The sequence below is a fragment of the Homo sapiens genome, chromosome X (genome assembly GCF_000001405.40).
Source record: "Homo sapiens chromosome X, GRCh38.p14 Primary Assembly".
In the NCBI taxonomy this organism is placed as follows: Eukaryota; Metazoa; Chordata; class Mammalia; order Primates; family Hominidae; genus Homo; species Homo sapiens.
The window spans coordinates 71,416,494-71,433,327 of NC_000023.11; the positions used below are offsets into that span (position 1 = coordinate 71,416,494).

A 16,834-nucleotide genomic window follows, 5' to 3' on the forward strand; every position below is an offset into this window, starting at 1 on the left:
CCCACCTAGAAGTCTTCTTTAGCACAGGTTCCACAGCTAAAATAAGTCCAGAGCATAATTTAACTCTGGTAGGAAACCACCCCAGGGTATTCACTGACCATCAGCCGGTTCTTTTTCCATCTAGGAATAGGCATAAGGATCAAACACACAAGGTCGATAGAAAAGGGGCACAGTCATCACCACCTTCCTCGAGAATAGCCTTCTTTGACTTTCCTGATCTGGATAAATGTATTTCCCCTCTGAATTCCTACAACAATTACTGTCTGTGCAACTCATTTTCCCAGCTTCCTCTAGGTATCATCCAGTGTCCAACACCTCTGCTCAAAGTGACTGCTTCCAGAACAACAGTGCAACTTAGGCAGTTGCTGAACCAGAGTAAAACTCTTAGGGACAGGCCGGGCACGGTGGCTCACGCCTGTAATCCCAGCAGTTTGGGAAGCTGAGGAGGGCAGATCACTTGAAGTCAGGAGTTCAAGACCAGCCTGGCCAACACTCCAACCTGAGTGACAGAGCCAGACCCTGTCTCAAAAAAAAAAAAAAAAAAAATTTCATATTGAAACTTAATGCCCAAATGTGGCAGTATTGAGAGGTGGAGTTTTCAAGAAGTGACTGGATCTTGAGGACCCTGTCCTCATGAATGAATTAATCCATTCATGGATTAATAGATTAATGGGTTAATATGGGAGTGGAACTAGTGGCTTCATAAGAAGAGGAAAAGGGACCTGAGCAAGCATGCTCAGCCCCCTCACCATGGGATTCTCTGAGCCACCTCGGGACTCTGCAGAGTTTCCACTAGCAAAAAGGCTCTTACTAATTGTGGCCCCTCAACCATGGACTGTTCAGCCTCCATAATTATAAGAAATTTCTTGTTTTTTGTTTTTGAGACAGAGTCTCACTCTGTTGCCCAGGCTGGAGTACAGTGGCATAATCACAGCGTAATGCAGTCTCAGTATCCCTGGGCTCGATGATTCTCCCACCTCAGCCTCCCGAGTAGCTGGGACCACAGGTGTGCTTCAGCACACCCAGCTAGTTTTTGTATTTTTTTTTTCTTGTAGAGACAGGGTTTCGTCACATTGCCCAGGCTGGTCTCGAACTCCTGGGCTCAAGCGATCTGTCCACCTCAGCATCCCAAAGTGCTGGGATTACAGGCGTGAGCAACCACCCCCGGCCCCAGTAAGCAGATACAGTTGTTGTAAAACAACTTATAGCATACTGTGTTGTGCTGTCAGCAGTAAATGCATTTATGATGTTTTCCACTCATTATGTGTTTATTGGGATGTAACCCTATCATAAGTCAAGGAGCATCTGTATCTCATATGCAGCTCCTCCATAATTCATGGCAACCAATATATTCCTCTATTTATACTAATACTCTATTTTTAAAAAAAATTATGGAAATTGTTAGACACATACAGAAATAAAAGAGGAAGTAAACTTCAGTGCTATTCAGTCAGTTCAACACTTTGTTAGCATATGGTCAATCTAGTATATATTTTCAGCTTTTGTATTATTTCATCCATAAATACTTAAAGCATTTATACTCTGTCTTGCAATAATTTATTTTCAAGTCATTTCTTTGACTAGACCAGCAACTATCTTTATTTTTTTGTTCTATTTTTTGAGATGGGGTCTCACTGTCACCTAGGCTGGAGTGCAGTGGCACAATCTTGGCTCACTGCAGCCTTGACCTCCTGGGCCGAAGCAATCCTCCTGTGTCAGCCTGCCGAGTAGCTGGGACTACAGGTGCATGCCATCACATCCAGCTAATTTTTGAATTTTTTTTTGTAGAGGTGAGGTCTTACTATGTTGCCCAGGCTGGTCTCAAACTCCTAGGCTGAAGCAATCCTCCTGCCTCAGTCTCACAAAGTGTTGAGTTTACAGGCGTGAGCCACTGTGTCTGGCCTAAGCCAATAAGTCTCATAGGCAGGAAGTCTGTCTTATTTTTCCTTATATTCCCATCATTGAACACATTGTACACAGTCATTAAACATTTGTTAAATGAATAAACAAGTGAATGCTGAATTAAATAATAAGTGAGAATAGAACTGACGTTTTGGCTCTGGGGAGCACTAACACAAAAGGATAGACAGAGGAATACAATCTAGCAAAGGATATGTAAAAGAAGTAATTGGAATTACTTGCTAGATGAAAATATTTTAGCTGCTTTATGATGAGCTTAAATTAGGGCATTCATAAGCAGGGAGTGTAGGAGATAGGTCAGATAGTTCAAGGATTTTCTGAAGCTTCTGATAGGGATCAGTATGGAGATTTTTTTTTTTTTTTTTTTTTTTTGAGATGGAGTTTCACTCTTGTTGCCCAGGCTGGGGTGCAATGGCACAGTCTTGGCTCACGCAACCTCCACCTCCCGGGTTCAAGTGATTCTCCTGCCTCAGCTTCCTGAGTAGCTGGGATTACAGGCATGCGCCACCATACCCAGCTAATTTTGTATTTTTAGTAGAGACGGGGTTTCTCCATGTTGGTCAGGCTGGTCTTGAGCTCCCAACCTCAGGTGATCCGCCTGCCTCGGCCTCCCAAAGTGCTAGGATTACAGGCGTGAGCCACCACGCCCAGCCCAGAGATTCTTTTTTAACATAGGCTTGTATTAACCCGATGTTATTAGAACACCACAAACCGTAAATTCTACAAACAAAAGTTGCAATCACAAATTTTATATGTTAAGTGTGGGAAAATTACAAGTCACCCATCGGTCTATTTAGGCATTCTTTTTCTTTTTATTGTATTTTCAAAAACAACTTTATTCATCGCACGTATTAAAAAAAAATTCCCACCCCTGGAAATGAGCTAAAAAAGTAAACAAAATCCACCTCCCACCTCCCTGTTCCCACTTCCTCCAATTCCCACCAAATAAAAGGGAAAAAAGGCAAAGGAAAAAAAAACAAAAACAAAAACACCCCTAAACCCCCAAAATCAAGGTAGTGCATTTCCCCAGGGAGAAGGGGAATTTACACTGGAGCTGCTAGGGGCGGAACGGAGATCTTCCGGCTACAGAAACCTGCAAAGAAAGACACTCAAAACAGAAAAAGAAACACAAAAGGAAACAAAATAGATCACCAGGCAATCTGGAGGGGCAGGGAGCCGGAGAAGAGGGGTGGGGTGGGTGGTAGACCTGACTGGACAGGAGCTGGCAGGAGAGGACTGTGAAAGGTTAGAAGACGGAGGGAAGGTGACAAGCAGAACAGTTTGGTGTCCTTCCAGAGCCCTGGCTAAAAAATAAAAAAACCTCCTACCACCCACACCCACCTACCCTTGAGCAGCCCCCAGGGGGGTGAAATGGGGCAGGGAAACATGGGGAGCAGCTTGCTAGTTGAGACGTGTCCATGGCGAATCCCCAGAGTGAATAAGCAGCCTCCTGCCCCACTCCCTGGGCCTTCCCCTGCTCCCTAAAGCAGGTCCCTCCTCAGCAGTTAGTTATGGGATTCTCCCCCCCTTCCACAGTATATCTTTTTAAAAAAATACTTTTTTCCCATCAAGGTCATCTTCTGTTTTTTGTTTGTATTTTTTTTAATTCTTTTTTTTTTTCCCCTTCTGTCCTCTTTTTTTCTTCTCTTTCCTCCTCATACTTTTTTTAGTAAGGGGAGTACCATGATGTCGCTCTAGCCTGGCCTCTGTAGACGTGACCCCGGGGCCTGCTGTTAAAACCACTGTGGAATCGAGAGAGGGAACTGCTGTAGTTGGTGGTCCGGGCATGGTAGCGGGCTCCTGGAAAACCCCGATCTGTTGTGCTGATTCCTGGTCTGTTGGTTCATTTTGGGATCACCTTGATTTGCCTTCCTCTAAATAGGGAGTCATCTAAGGCCAGGGAAGTCCTCACTGACTCTTTGTCTGAGAACTCTATATATGCAAACCCTTTGGAATGGCCACTAAATTTGTCACAGAGTATGGTAACACGGTTGACTGAACCACAGCCATGAAAGTGAGCTTCCAGCTCTTCTGCTGTTGCACCATAGTCAACATTGCCAACATAGATGGAACGGGCATCGGCCTCCATCTTCTCCTCAATGACATGATCACTGGGCCAGCATTTCCTGGAGGTGGACTCATACTCATCTGCTTCTCTACCTCGTTCTGTAGCTCCTTTAGCTTCTCAGCTTCTTCCTCCATCTCCCTAACTCGAGCTTTGATAGCTTCCAGCTCCGGATCCTCAATGGCGCTGTCTTCCGGGTCACCCTCGACCAGTCATGGCTCCTCCTCCTCCTCTTGGCTGCCAGGGGCTCCCGAACCAGGCCTGGAGCTCCCGTGGGGGTGGGGGGCGCAAGGCCAGGGCGGCTCCTCTTCAGGCTTGGGCTCCGGCTCGGGGTCCAGCGGCAGCTCCTCAGGCTACAGTTCCTCAGACTCCAGGCCGTTCCCGTAGTCCCCTACGCCCCCCGGGGCCCCCTCCCCGGCCTCCCCACCGGCCCCAGGCACAAGATGGCGCCACCGCCCTGACCCGGAGGCCTGACCGCCTGCAGCCCCAGCCGCCCGCTGCCGCCTGCTCACTCTTTAGGCATTCTTAAAGAAATTATTGCTCCCCTTCCATAGTATTATGTTTGAGGTATTAAAAGCAGCAGTAGTACTACTGTGTGTAGATACACACAAGGAAAGAGTTAAAGTTAGTTTATTCATTCATATTGTGTAACTGCTATGTTTTAGGTGCTGGAAAATGGACATAAGTCTGGTGTATCTGTCTAACCCATCAGTTAGCCTGGTGCCTGACACATTTTAGGTTCTTAAGTAAGTGCATTAAAAGGATAAAGAAGTGTTGGCAGCTTTTGCCTCCCGTTATTAGTGGTTTCATCTCTTTCTGTTCCTCTACAGGGCCAAAACACTCATTGACTCAGATCTCTCAATCCATGCTGGATCTCTGTGATGAAAAACTCAAAGAGGTAAGACAGTTAGAATGAGAGAAAGGCAGTGGAATTTGAAGGTGGGGGTGGGATATCAGGGTTTAGGAAGTAGGGAATTTAACAGAAGGAAAAATATATGCGGGAGTAGCAGATCTTTAGTATATGTGAAGGCTGGAAGGGACTTATAGAACTCATAGGCCAGTCCCTTTTGTAGATGGAAAAACTGGGCCCGTAGAAGAAAAGTATTTGCTCTGGACATCTTGACTATTAACAAAGTTAGAATTAAGATCCAGCACCTACATAACTCATTAGAAAGGGCAAAGGAAAGTGAGTTTCCAGGAAGTCAGCTGTAGCTAAGAGACCAGTCAATGTTTTAGGAAGAATTTTCATTTTTTCTTCATATTTTTAACCAACCAAGCAGCAAGTGCTAGAAGTTTTAATTTTTAAATGATAATCTATCTATATTCCCTCTTCTTACTGAAAACAATTAATGGTACTTTATAAACCTACAAAAGTGTAAGTATGAAGTAGACATTTCACAAAAGAGGACAACTAGCCAGTAAACACGGAAAGATTCTCAACTTGATTGATTATTGAGGAGATGCAAATTTAAACCACGATGTCACTACATACCCACTGCAAAGGCTAAAATTAAAAAGACTGACAATACTAAATGTTGATGAGGATTTGGAGCAATAGGAATACAAACTTTTTCCTACTAGAGTCTAAAATGAATTTATTGGGTTAGGTCCCATTACGCAAAAGTCACTAATCAGTAATAATGTTTAGTGTTTCCAGCAGTAGTTTTACAGCAAAAACAGAGAGCATGATCTTAAAGCCTAAATTGCTAAAGATGTTTTTTTGTGTGTGTGGGGAGCTATGATGTTGACACTCAGGGAAGTATAAATTTTGGTGAACCAGAAGAATAGAATGTAGAGTACCTAAAGAAGTTGTTGACACATCCTTTTTGACCCTTTTACTGGAATTTTTTTTTTTTTTTTTTGAGACAGGGTCTGGCTCTGTCACCTGGGCTGGAGTGCAGTGGGATGACCTTGGCTCACTGCAACCTCCGCCTCCTGGGTTTAAGTGATTCTTGGCCTCCCGAGTAGCTGGGACCACAGGCGTGTGCCACCACGCCCAGCTAATTTTTTTTTTTTTTTGTATTCTTAGTAGAGATGGGGTTTTGCCATGTTGGCCAGGCTGGTCTCGAGTTCCTGGCCTCATATGATCCACCTGCTCGGCCTCCCAGATTGCTGGGATTACAGGTGTGAGCCACTGTGCCCAGCCTGGAATATCATTTATCTTGACTTTTTGTCATTCCATAGGCAATTCAAAGTTACACTTTCTGGGGCAAGGGTAATAGATAGCTAGCTGAACTTAAATTATCCTTAATTTATTTTTTATTTATTTATTTTTTTTGAGATAGAGCTTCGCTCTGTCCACCCAGGCTGGAGTGCAGTGGTGCAATCTCGGCTTACTGCAAGCTCCACCTCCCAGATTCACGCCATTCTCCTGCCTCAGCCTCCTGAGTAGCTGGGACTATAGGCGCCCGCCACCACGCCCAGCTAGTTTTTTTTTGTATTTTTAGTAGAGACGGGGTTTCACCGTGTTAGCCAGGATGGTCTTGATCTCTTGACCTTGTGATCCGCCCGCCTCAGCCTCCCAAAGTGCTGGGATTACAGGCGTGAGCCACCACGCCCGGCAAATTGTCCTTAACTTTTCTATGGTGATCACACCTTAGGGAAACCTCTGTCTTGGCTTTGCTTTGTTTAATTTCAGAAAGAAGACAAATTAGCTCGCTTAGAGAAAGCTATCAACCCCTTGCTGGATGATGATGACCAAGTGGCGTTTTCTTTCATTCTGGACAACATTGTCACCCAGAAAATGATGGCAGTTCCAGATGTAAGCTGTCTCTGTGCCAAATACTGTGAGGATCGTGCAGGGGAAAGGAAAAATGTTTAGGGTGTACACGTGTGTGTATTTTGGAGAGTCTGAGTGGTGGTGTATGTCAGTTGTGACTGGTATGTGATTTTAAATATTGACCTTTTTGCTATATGGGTACATTATCTTTTTTTTTTAAGAGTACATTATCATTGAAATCAAAGAGGCCAGGAATCTTTGGATGTAGGGAGGTTTTTGCTTCCTGTTGTTGACATTCAGTATATGAATGCTCCTGAATAGCCCTGTAGAGAGAGGATGCTAGCGAATGTGAGGCTTTTGATTTAGAGGTGCTTCTAAGCAAATGATGCTTTGATAATTAGACACCATTGGTTGTCTTTTATTTCATTTTTATATTGTTACAGTGATCCTCCCCAGGAATTCTCAACAGAGTTTCCTTTTGTACTATAGGAATGTGTTCTATATGTGTAATGCTATAAAACTTCTCGTTGGGACTAGGGAATAAGGAATTTTAATTATGACTATACAGCAAGTGTTTTTATCCTATCATGGCATAGAAATCCTTAAAGGAATCTATGAACCCCTTACATTATAAACAGAAGTTTTGTATGATTATGTGTTTTTCTAGGAAAAGAGTCCATAGCTTTTTTTAGGAATATTTGTAACCCAACAAAGGTGGTGAAATTCTCGTATGAAGAGTGGTTTCCATTTAATTTCTTATGCTTTCTATTTACTAGTCTTGGCCATTTCATCACCCAGTTAATAAGAAATTTGTTCCAGATTATTACAAAGTGATTGTCAATCCAATGGATTTAGAGACCATACGTAAGGTGAGTGAGTGATTTGATCTAAATGCCTTTTTGTAATCAAGTGACTGTGTGTGTGTGTATCTGAGTGCCTGATTCTTTTCATCACAGAACATCTCCAAGCACAAGTATCAGAGTCGGGAGAGCTTTCTGGATGATGTAAACCTTATTCTGGCCAACAGTGTTAAGTATAATGGTGGGTATTTCTCATTATTTTCTTTCCATGAATCCGTCCATCTTCTATCCATCTAACATTACTTAGCATTATTAAAAAATTTTTTTTTGAGACAGGATCTTGCTCTCTTACCCAGGCTGGATGCTGTGGTGTGATCATAGTTCACTGAACCAGGCACACGCCACCGTGCCAGGCTCTTTTTTTTTTTTTTTTTTTTTTTTTTGGTAGAGACAGGGTTTTACTATTTTGCCCAGGCTGAGCTCAAGCAATCCTCCCACCTCGGCTTCCCAAAATGCTGGGATTACAGGTGTGAGCCAACACGCCTAACCAGTATTATTAAAATTTATGTGCGTAAAGCAACCTTGAGCAGTGATAGCAGAATCAATTGAGTGACCTAGTCTTTCTATTTATTTATTTATTTTGAGATGGAGTTTCACTCTTGTTGCCCAGGCAGGAGTGCAATGGCACGATCTCGGCTCACTGCAACCTCCACCTCTCCCAGGTTCAAGCAATTTTCTTGCCTCAGCCTCCTGAGTAGCTGGGATTGCAGGTGCCTGCCACCATGCCCAGCTAATTTTTGTATTTTTAGTAGAAACGGGGTTTCACTATGTTGGCCAGGCTGGTCTCGAATTCCTGACCTCAGGTGATCCACCTGCCTCAGCCTCCCAAAGTGCTGGGATTACAGGCGTGAGCCACTGCTCCCAGCCAGTCTTTTTTTTTAAAGCAAGCATATATTTTAGTGTGTATGTTCTATAAAGATTGCTATTAGCCGTTAATGATGAAAAAGTAGTATACGCTTACTTTTGGAATCTTGGAAAGCACAGAAAAATGAGGTGAGCATAAAAATCAAATGGATTTTTATCCATTTGGGCTCTGAGCTATCACTGCTTTTTCCTGGAATGTGAAAACTCACCTATGTCCCAGGCCCTTACATGGAGCTTAGGGAAATGGGTAGCTATAGACCATGGTGAGCTTCCTTGGTGCATGGAGTTTTGCTCAGTACATGAGTTGATTGAATAACATATGCCAGGCCCTGTGCTAGCTGCTTAATCTACTGATAAGAAAGACAGTCACTGTCCTCAAGTAATTCACAATCCAGTTGGCAGAAAGAGACAATTAAAATGCAGCTTGGAACCAGGCATGGTGGCTCATACCTGTAATCTCAACACTTTGGTAGGCTGAGGTGGGAGGATTGCTTGAGGCCAGGAGTTTGAGACCAGCCTGGGCACACATAGCAAGACCTTCCTTGTCTGTATAAAAAACTTATAAACAAAAGCTTAGCTAGGTGTGGTGGTGAGTGCCTGAAGTCTTAAGATATTTGGGAGGCTAAGGCAAGAGGATCACTTGAACTCAGGATTTCAAGACTGCAGTGAGCTATGATCACGCCCCTGCACTACATCCTGGGCAACAGCAAGACCCTGTCTCTATAAATAAATAAAATAAATAAGTAAAGTGCAGCTTGACAAGAGCTATAATAGAAGTATGTGCAGATTGCATCAGACGAGAGCAAGGAATAACCTGAGAGTTAGGGAAGGCTTCATAAACGAGCTAATATAGTTCAGTTTTTAATGACTCAATTTTTAAACATTGAGTACTTACATGCGCTGGCACTGATAGATGTTACTAATATCAAATTAGATATGGTCTCTGCTCCAAGTTAGTTTAGTTGGAGAAACAGAAAAGAAAAATTATAGTACTTAAATTTTATTACTATAAGCATGCACAGAGTGTCACAGGACAGTATATCTAAATTAGAGTGGGGCTGGGTGCGGTAGCTCACACCTGTGATCCTAGTACCTTGGGAGGCCAAGGCGGGCGGATCATTTGAGCTCAGGAGTGCAAGACCAGCCTGGGCAACATAGTGAGACCCCATCTCAGAAAAAAAAAAAAAGTGGGGTTAGAGGAAGCTTTCTGGAAGAGGGTTTTCTTTCTTCTTTTTCTTTTTTGTAAATAGAGATGGGGGTCTTGCTGTGTTGCCCAGTCTGGTCTGGAACTCCAGGGCTCAAGCCATCCTCCCATCTTGGCCTCCCAAAGTGTTAGGATTACAGGCATGAGCCACCACACCCATCCAGAAGAGAGTTTTCTTAAGCTGAGTTCTGAAAGATCAATGGTGTTTACTTGGCAAAGAATGTGGAGGAGAAAATGTTCTAGGGTAGAGAGAACAGCGATATGTAAAGGCACAGAGGCCTGAAATTGCATGATAGGTTTAGGAAACAGGCTGGGTGTGGTGGCTCACGCCTGTAATCCCAGCGCTTTGGGAGGCCGAGGCCGGCGGATCACCTGAAATCGGGAGTTTGAGACCAGGCTGACCAACATGGAGAAACCCCGTCTCTACTAAAAGTACAAAATTAGCTGGGCATGGTGGTGCATGCCTGTGATCCCAGCTAGTCGGGAGGCTGAGGCAGGAGAATCGCTTGTACCCTGGAGGTGGAGGTTGCAGGGAGCCGAGATGCCGCCATTGCACTCCAGCCTGGGCAACAAGAGTGAAACTCCATCTCAAAAAAAAAAAAACAAAGAGACAGTGTTGGGGTTGCAGTTCAAGTGTACATACTGGTAAATAACTGTTTTGAGAGGCAGGCAAGAGTCAAATCATAGAGGATTTTGTGTGCTATACTTGAGTTTGTACTTGATCCTAAATGGGAAAACATTGAAGGAATGAAGCAGGGAAACAATTTCTTATAATTCCTTAAACAAATAGAAGAGGGAGCTAAGGACGTTTGAGAGAATTATCTGGCGTACTGAGGTTCTCAATTAAGAATCCACATGATTATAAGACTTTTCTCCTGTAATTTTTAGCAGTAAGTAGTACGGCTGTTAAGTTTGTCAGAAGGGGCAGAGAACTGGAGAGAAAAGGTGAAGGATTGGACAGTCAGAAAGACTGATGAAGAAATAAGCATTCTGGGCAGAGAACACAATGTTCAATATCATGGAAGAATGAAAGAGCAGGGCAAGTTCAGGGAACTATACGTAACTAGAACATGCATATATCATTAAGGAGATGAGATTTTCATTTTTGTTCATTCTGGTTTGGGTTGAAAGAATGTACTTTCTCAGTTTGCTGTGCTTATTACACATTGGAAAGTGGAGAGTGGAAATGTCCCTTGTTGGGTCAATTATCCATTATTGTTTTATGAAAACACCTAATCACCCAGAATTCTGGCAGTAGAAGTGTTGGTAAGCTCACAGATGTCTAAAAAAGACTATGTATAGCAAGTGATAAGCAAGAGTGTTACAGAAAGGTACTTGACCTGGTGATGGCTGACTTAGGACATAGGGCAGACTTAACAAGGAGCTTATGTAAAACAGTAAGAAAAACCCAGAAGATACTAATAAAAAAGTAAGCAGAGGGCAGATGGACAAATCACAAAAGAGAAAAATTAAATAGCTAACAAACATGAATAAATATTCTGTTGCACTAGTAATCCAAGAAATGCAATTGGGCCAGGCATGGTGGCTCATGCCTGTAATCCCAGCACTTTGGGAGGCTGAGGCAGATAGATCACCTTAGGTCGGCAGTTTGAGATCAGCCTGGCCAAGATGGTGAAATCCCATCTTTCCTAAAAATACAAAAATTAGCTGGGCGTGGAGGCGGGTGCCTGTAATCCCAGCTACTCAGGAGGCTGAGGCATGAGAATTGCTTGAACCTGGGAGGTAGAGGTTGCGGTGAGCCGAGATAGTGCCACTGCACTCCAGCCTGGGTGATAGAGTGAGACTTAGTCTAAGAAGGAAGAAAAAAAAAAAAGCAATTGAAAGAAAGAGATACTTTTTTTTTTAAACCTATTAGATTAGCTCAATTTTTTTTTTTTTTTTTTTTCTGAGATGGAGTCTTGCTCTGTCGCCCAGGCTAGAGTGCAGTGGCGCGATCTTGGCTCACTGCACCCTCCGCCTCCCGGGTTCAAGCAATTCTCCTGCCTCAGCCTCCCAAGTAGCTGAGATTACAGGCTCCCGCCACCGTGCCTGGCTAATTTTTGTATTTTTAGTAGAGATGGGGTTTCACCATCTTGGCCAGGCTGGTCTCGAACTTCTGACCTTGTGAGCCACTGCGCTTGGCCAACTCAATTTTTTAGTAGACATAATGGTAGTGAGACAGGTGCTCTCACGTATTGCTGTTGGCAGTATAAAATTGTGTGAGATTTCTGGAAAGCTATTTGGCAACATTGAGAGACTAAAATAAATTGTTGAGTGAACAGACTTTATTGTCAAGTAGACTTGGATTTGAACATTGGCCCCACCACTTAATAGCAATGTGACTTTGAGCAAATAACTTAGTCTCTGCTTCTCCTATCTGTAAAATAAGAATAATAGTACCCCCCTTCAAGAGGGTTGTTTTGAGGATTAAATAAAATAGTGCATGTAAGTACTTACCATGTGGTAAGATTATAATCCTAATCAGAGATGTAGTTAAAGGTATTCATGATATTGTTACTTATATTAGCAAGGATTTATTTAACCTGAATAGTTGACATAAAGGGGATGATGTTATAGTGCCATCTGTATAATTAATTATTAGGTACAGATTTACCTAATAAGCTCTTTTTTGGAAAACTTAATGACCAAAAAATGCTCACAATGTTAAGTGAGAAAAGCAGAGCACAAAGATGTTTATTTTATCTCAGTCATGCTTTTTTAAAAAAGATGTATATACGTACAAAAAAGGCTGGAAGGAAACACACCAGAGTGATAATAGTGGTTATTTCTGTGACATGGGGTTAGGATTGTCTTTGTTTTCATCTTTTATATGTTTTCCGTGGTTTTTCCTCATATAGGAAGCAGGGAGGCCGGGCGCGGTGGCTCACGCCTGTAATCCCAGCACTTTGGGAGGCTGAGGTGGGCGGATCACAAGGTCAGGAGATCGAAACCATTCTGGCTGACACAGTGAAACCCCGTCTCTACTAAAAATACAAAAAATTAGCCGGGCGTGGTGGCGGGCGCCTGTAGTCCCAGCTACTCGGGAGGCTGAGGCAGGAGAATGGTGTGAACCTGGGAGGCGGAGCTTGCAGTGAGCTGAGATCGCATCACTGCACTCCAGCCTGGGCGACAGAGCAAGACTCTGTCTCAAAAAAAAAAGCAGAAGGAAGCAGGGAACTCTCCTAAGAAGAAGTGACTTTTGAACTGAGTTTTGAAGAATGATGATGATAATAACTACTTATTGAGCACCTACTGTGCCAAGGAAATAGTCAAGTGGAAAATGGTGGGGGAGAAGTTCCTGGCAGATAGCACAAATGCAAAAGTAGATGAAGGTGCCTTGGATAGGGAAGTGTGCTGGTAGTTAAATATGACTAGGATGCATGGTGGAATTACGTTTGGTAGTGAGATACGAGATTTTAAAGGTAGAGGGGCCAAATCATGAAACGCCTAGTATGTTAACACCAAACCTTTAGAAGGAGAAAGGGACATATCAGGTACTAGTACCTGAATGTATCATTCTGAAACCCATCTGAAGAATGGATTGGAGGAGGAGAATAAGACAGAGACCGGTAAAGAAACTATTGACAGCATTCCCAGTTAAAAATACTGACGGCCTGAACTAAGGTCAGTATCAATAAGAGTAAAAAAATGAAGATGGGGTGTAGAGATACTTAGGAGGTAGAATTGATATTTCATAAATGGTTAGAAGTTGGGGGCACGGGTAAAGGATAGAGATTTTAAGGTGGTATCAAGCACTCATGCTCTTGGTGGAAACATAAATTAGTACAAACGTTTTAGAGGACTATAAATGTTCATTTCCATTGGCTAAGAAACTTCACTTCTAGGGACTACTCCACACAAGTTTATAAAGGTACATGTACAAATGTTCTTTGCAGCATTGCTTGTAATTGCAAAAACATGGAGTATTCTAAATATCCAACAATAGGAAATTGTTTAAAAAATGGCACATCTAGGCCGGGCACGGTGGCTCACGCCTGTAATCCCAGCACTTTGGGAGGCTGAGGTGGGCGGATCACGAGGTCAGGAGATTGAGATCATCCTGGCTAACACAGGTGAAACCCCGTCTCTACTAAAAATATAAAAAATTAGCCGGGCGTGGTGGCGAGCACCTGTAGTCCCAGCTACTCGGGAGGCTGAGGCAGGACAATGGCGGGAGGAACCCGGGAGGCCGAGCTTGCTGTGAGCCGAGATCGTGCTACTGCACTCCAGCCTGGGCAACAGAGCGAGACTCCGTCTCACAAAAAAAAAAAAAAAAAAAAGGCACATCTATATGATGAAATACTGCTAAGCTATCAAAATGGTAGACTTAGCTAACAAATTAGGTGTATCTGTATATGCTCATATGAAAAGATACTCAAATTGCATTATTGAGAACCATATTACTCAACAGTATTTAAAAAAGAGGGTCACAAATTTGGATTCTAAGGACAGGTAATATAAATGAGTGAAATGGGCTATGTTGTGGGGGCCAATGAACTGGTGAGCATGTATCCCATCTAGGAGTCAGTCACTATTTAGCTCAGTTGTTGCCATGGAATTGAATTACCAAAGGGAGAAATGGAGAATAGTTTTTACTTTAGACTTGTTTGTACTTAGGTATTTGAATTTTTTAGTGAGCACATAGTACTTTTGAAATTAAGAGAAATTTCCGTTTTTGGAAGGATGAATAAATCAAATGACCTCCAAAATTCTGACTTGGGCAACAGGTGGTGCCATTGACTAATATGGGAAATACAGGAAGAGTGGTTTGGAGAAAAGATAGCAGAGTTCAACTTGCTATGTTGTATTGGGGTGGGACATCTAAGTGAAGACTTTTAATAGGTAGTTAGCTGTGTACAGGTCCAAAGCTCAGAAGAATTTTTTTTTTTTTTTTTTTTTTTTTTTTTGAGACAGAATCTTGCTCTGTCGCCCAGGCTGGAGTGCAGTGGTGCGATCTCAGCCCATGGCAACCTTCGCCGCCCAGGTTCAAGTGATTTGCCTATCTCAGCCCATGGCAACCTTCGCCGCCCAGGTTCAAGTGATTTGCCTGCCTCAGCCTCCCAAGTAGCTGGGATTACAGGCACATGTCACCACACCCAGCTAATTTTTGTATTTTTAGCAGAGACGGGGTTTCACCGTGTTGGCCAGGCTGGTCTCAAACTCCTGACCTCAAATGCTCCACCTCCCTCGGCTTCTCAAAGTGCTGGGATTATAGGCGTGAGCTTTTGCACCTGGCCTCAGAAGAGAATTTATACTATAAATATGGTTACTTTTCAGATTATCAGCATATAAAAATATAAGTAGATGAGCTCAAATAGGGAGTAGGGTACATTCCTTGAACCCTCTGATGTTGTATGTAAAATATGATTGTATATTTTACTGAGTAGAAAGACCATAGATTTTATCAGATTGTCAAAGTGTGTGACCCCAAAAAACATAAGAGTCACTGTTTAGAGGATGTGGGATAAGAATAGACCTGACAAATTCCAATATTTAAGATAACAGGTGAGGCCTGGGATGGTGGCTCACGCCTGTAATCCCAGCACTTTGGGAGGCCGAGGCTGGTGGATCATGAGGTCAAGAGATCGAGACCATCCTGGCCAACATAGTGAAACGCTGCCTCTATTAAAAATACAAAAAATTAGCTGGGCATGGTGGCATGCACCGGTAGTCCCAGCTACTCCGGAGGCTGAGGCAGGAGAATCACTTGAATCCGGGAGGTGGAGGTTGCAGTGAGCCGAGATTGCACTGCTGTACTCCAGTCTGGTGACAGAGTGAGACTCCGTCTCAAAAAAAAAAAAAAAAAATATGAAGGAGTGGCCAGAATGAAAGAAGAAAAACTAGGAGAGAATAATATACTGCAAACCAAGAGAAGAGGACTTCAAAGAGGGAAAATTACCAACAGGTCAGGTGTTAGAGAGAAGACCAAAGAGGATGGTTATTAGAAGTTATTAGAGGATGGTTATTGAAGTGGTAGGATAAAAAGCCAGACTGTAGGGGTTGTGAATGAATGGGAAGTAAGAAAGTAGAGATTGAGAGTTGATTGTGAAGGGAGGAAGGAAGTAGACAATATGTTGAGGGGATGAAGGCAGTTGGGCAGAGGAGAACTTCGTATAGGTCAAAGAGAAGAAAATTAAGGATATGAAATGCCTATGGAGGTGGGAAGATAGACATTGAGAAAGTTTTAACATCTTATTTCTCTGTAAAGTAGGAAACAGCATATTTTTTTGCTGAGATTAAAGTGGGAGAAGGAATTTGAAGAAAAATATCAATAAGCGAATTATTTTTGTGGGAAATTGGAAAAGGAGCTGATTAGGGACATTTCAGAAGAACGCTGTTGAGCAACTTTTGAAGGTCCAGCTGAAGATGGAGACTTTTTTTTTTTTTTGGCAGTATCAGTTGGCACAGTTCTGTAATTTTTGTCAGTGCTCATCAAATCAAGTTAGGAAACTGAGAAGGCAGGTGATAAAATTGATTCAGGATTGAGATTTTGTTTTGTGGATGTGCTGGAAAGATTGGGAATTGAGGGTATTAGCAAAAAAAAAAATTATTGAAGTTCGGGCATCTCAAACCTTGTCACTCTTTAGTGACGCTTTATTGCAGAGGATTGTGACTATATAGTCTCCAGTTTGGGGGAATATCTCAGAGCAGCTCCACAAAAGTTTGAAATTTCTTTGGCAATTTGTGTTTTATCTTAAAAATGTGTGCAAATTTTCCGTTAGGCTTATCTGTACTTTAACTTGCTTCAAATTTCTTACCAAATTACTTTATATCCCCTCTCCAATCTTCAAGTAAAATTGCTGATTCAGGAAGTTATACAACAATGATCCCATAGCTTAGTTTGGTATATCCTTCTGCATTACCTAGTTTTTAAAACATGGGGCTGATTATACATTAAAGTAATGCCAGGAGAGGCTTAATATGTTGAGAGATAGAAATTAATGGGCCTGGCAGTTTTCTTGAAGTAAAAGAAAGAGAATGAAAAAACTGGACAGATACAAGGCTGTGATAAGAAAGTAGAATATTTGGAGTTGAAAGTTCCAGAGGTGAAGCAGTTTTCAGTAGATAGCATTCTGGGTATAGCCATGGATGTGTTTGGCTGGAGCAAAGGTGCAAACTATTGGCACAAAGATTTGCAGGGATTTGGATAGGTTGTACATGTGAACAATAAGGTAACTCACTATGATGGGAAAGATTTGGAG

The 16,834-nt window shown here is 42.6% G+C and overlaps 1 protein-coding gene and 1 pseudogene across 29 annotated transcripts in view; one reads left to right on the top strand and one right to left on the bottom strand.

The window, feature by feature from the left end:
- Positions 1–16,834, top strand: part of TAF1 (TATA-box binding protein associated factor 1) — a 164,169-nt gene that overhangs the window by 50,137 nt on the left and 97,198 nt on the right. For 26 of the 29 annotated variants that reach the window (NR_104391.2, NR_104392.2, NR_104393.2 and 23 more), the window contains 4 exons: positions 4,816–4,883; positions 6,624–6,746; positions 7,481–7,573; positions 7,661–7,745. Coding sequence is in view for 20 of the 29 variants with exons in the window: in NM_001440852.1 (NP_001427781.1) it covers positions 4,816–4,883; positions 6,624–6,746; positions 7,481–7,573; positions 7,661–7,745 (369 nt within the window). In the remaining 9 variants the exon portion in view is untranslated. Of the gene's footprint in view, positions 1–4,650; positions 4,732–4,815; positions 4,884–6,623; positions 6,772–7,480; positions 7,574–7,660; positions 7,746–16,834 lie in introns of those variants that run through there. The other 3 variants (NR_104395.2, NR_104394.2, XM_047442406.1) reach the window with 3 other exon arrangements.
- Positions 2,736–4,156, bottom strand: PABPN1P1 (PABPN1 pseudogene 1; annotated as a pseudogene).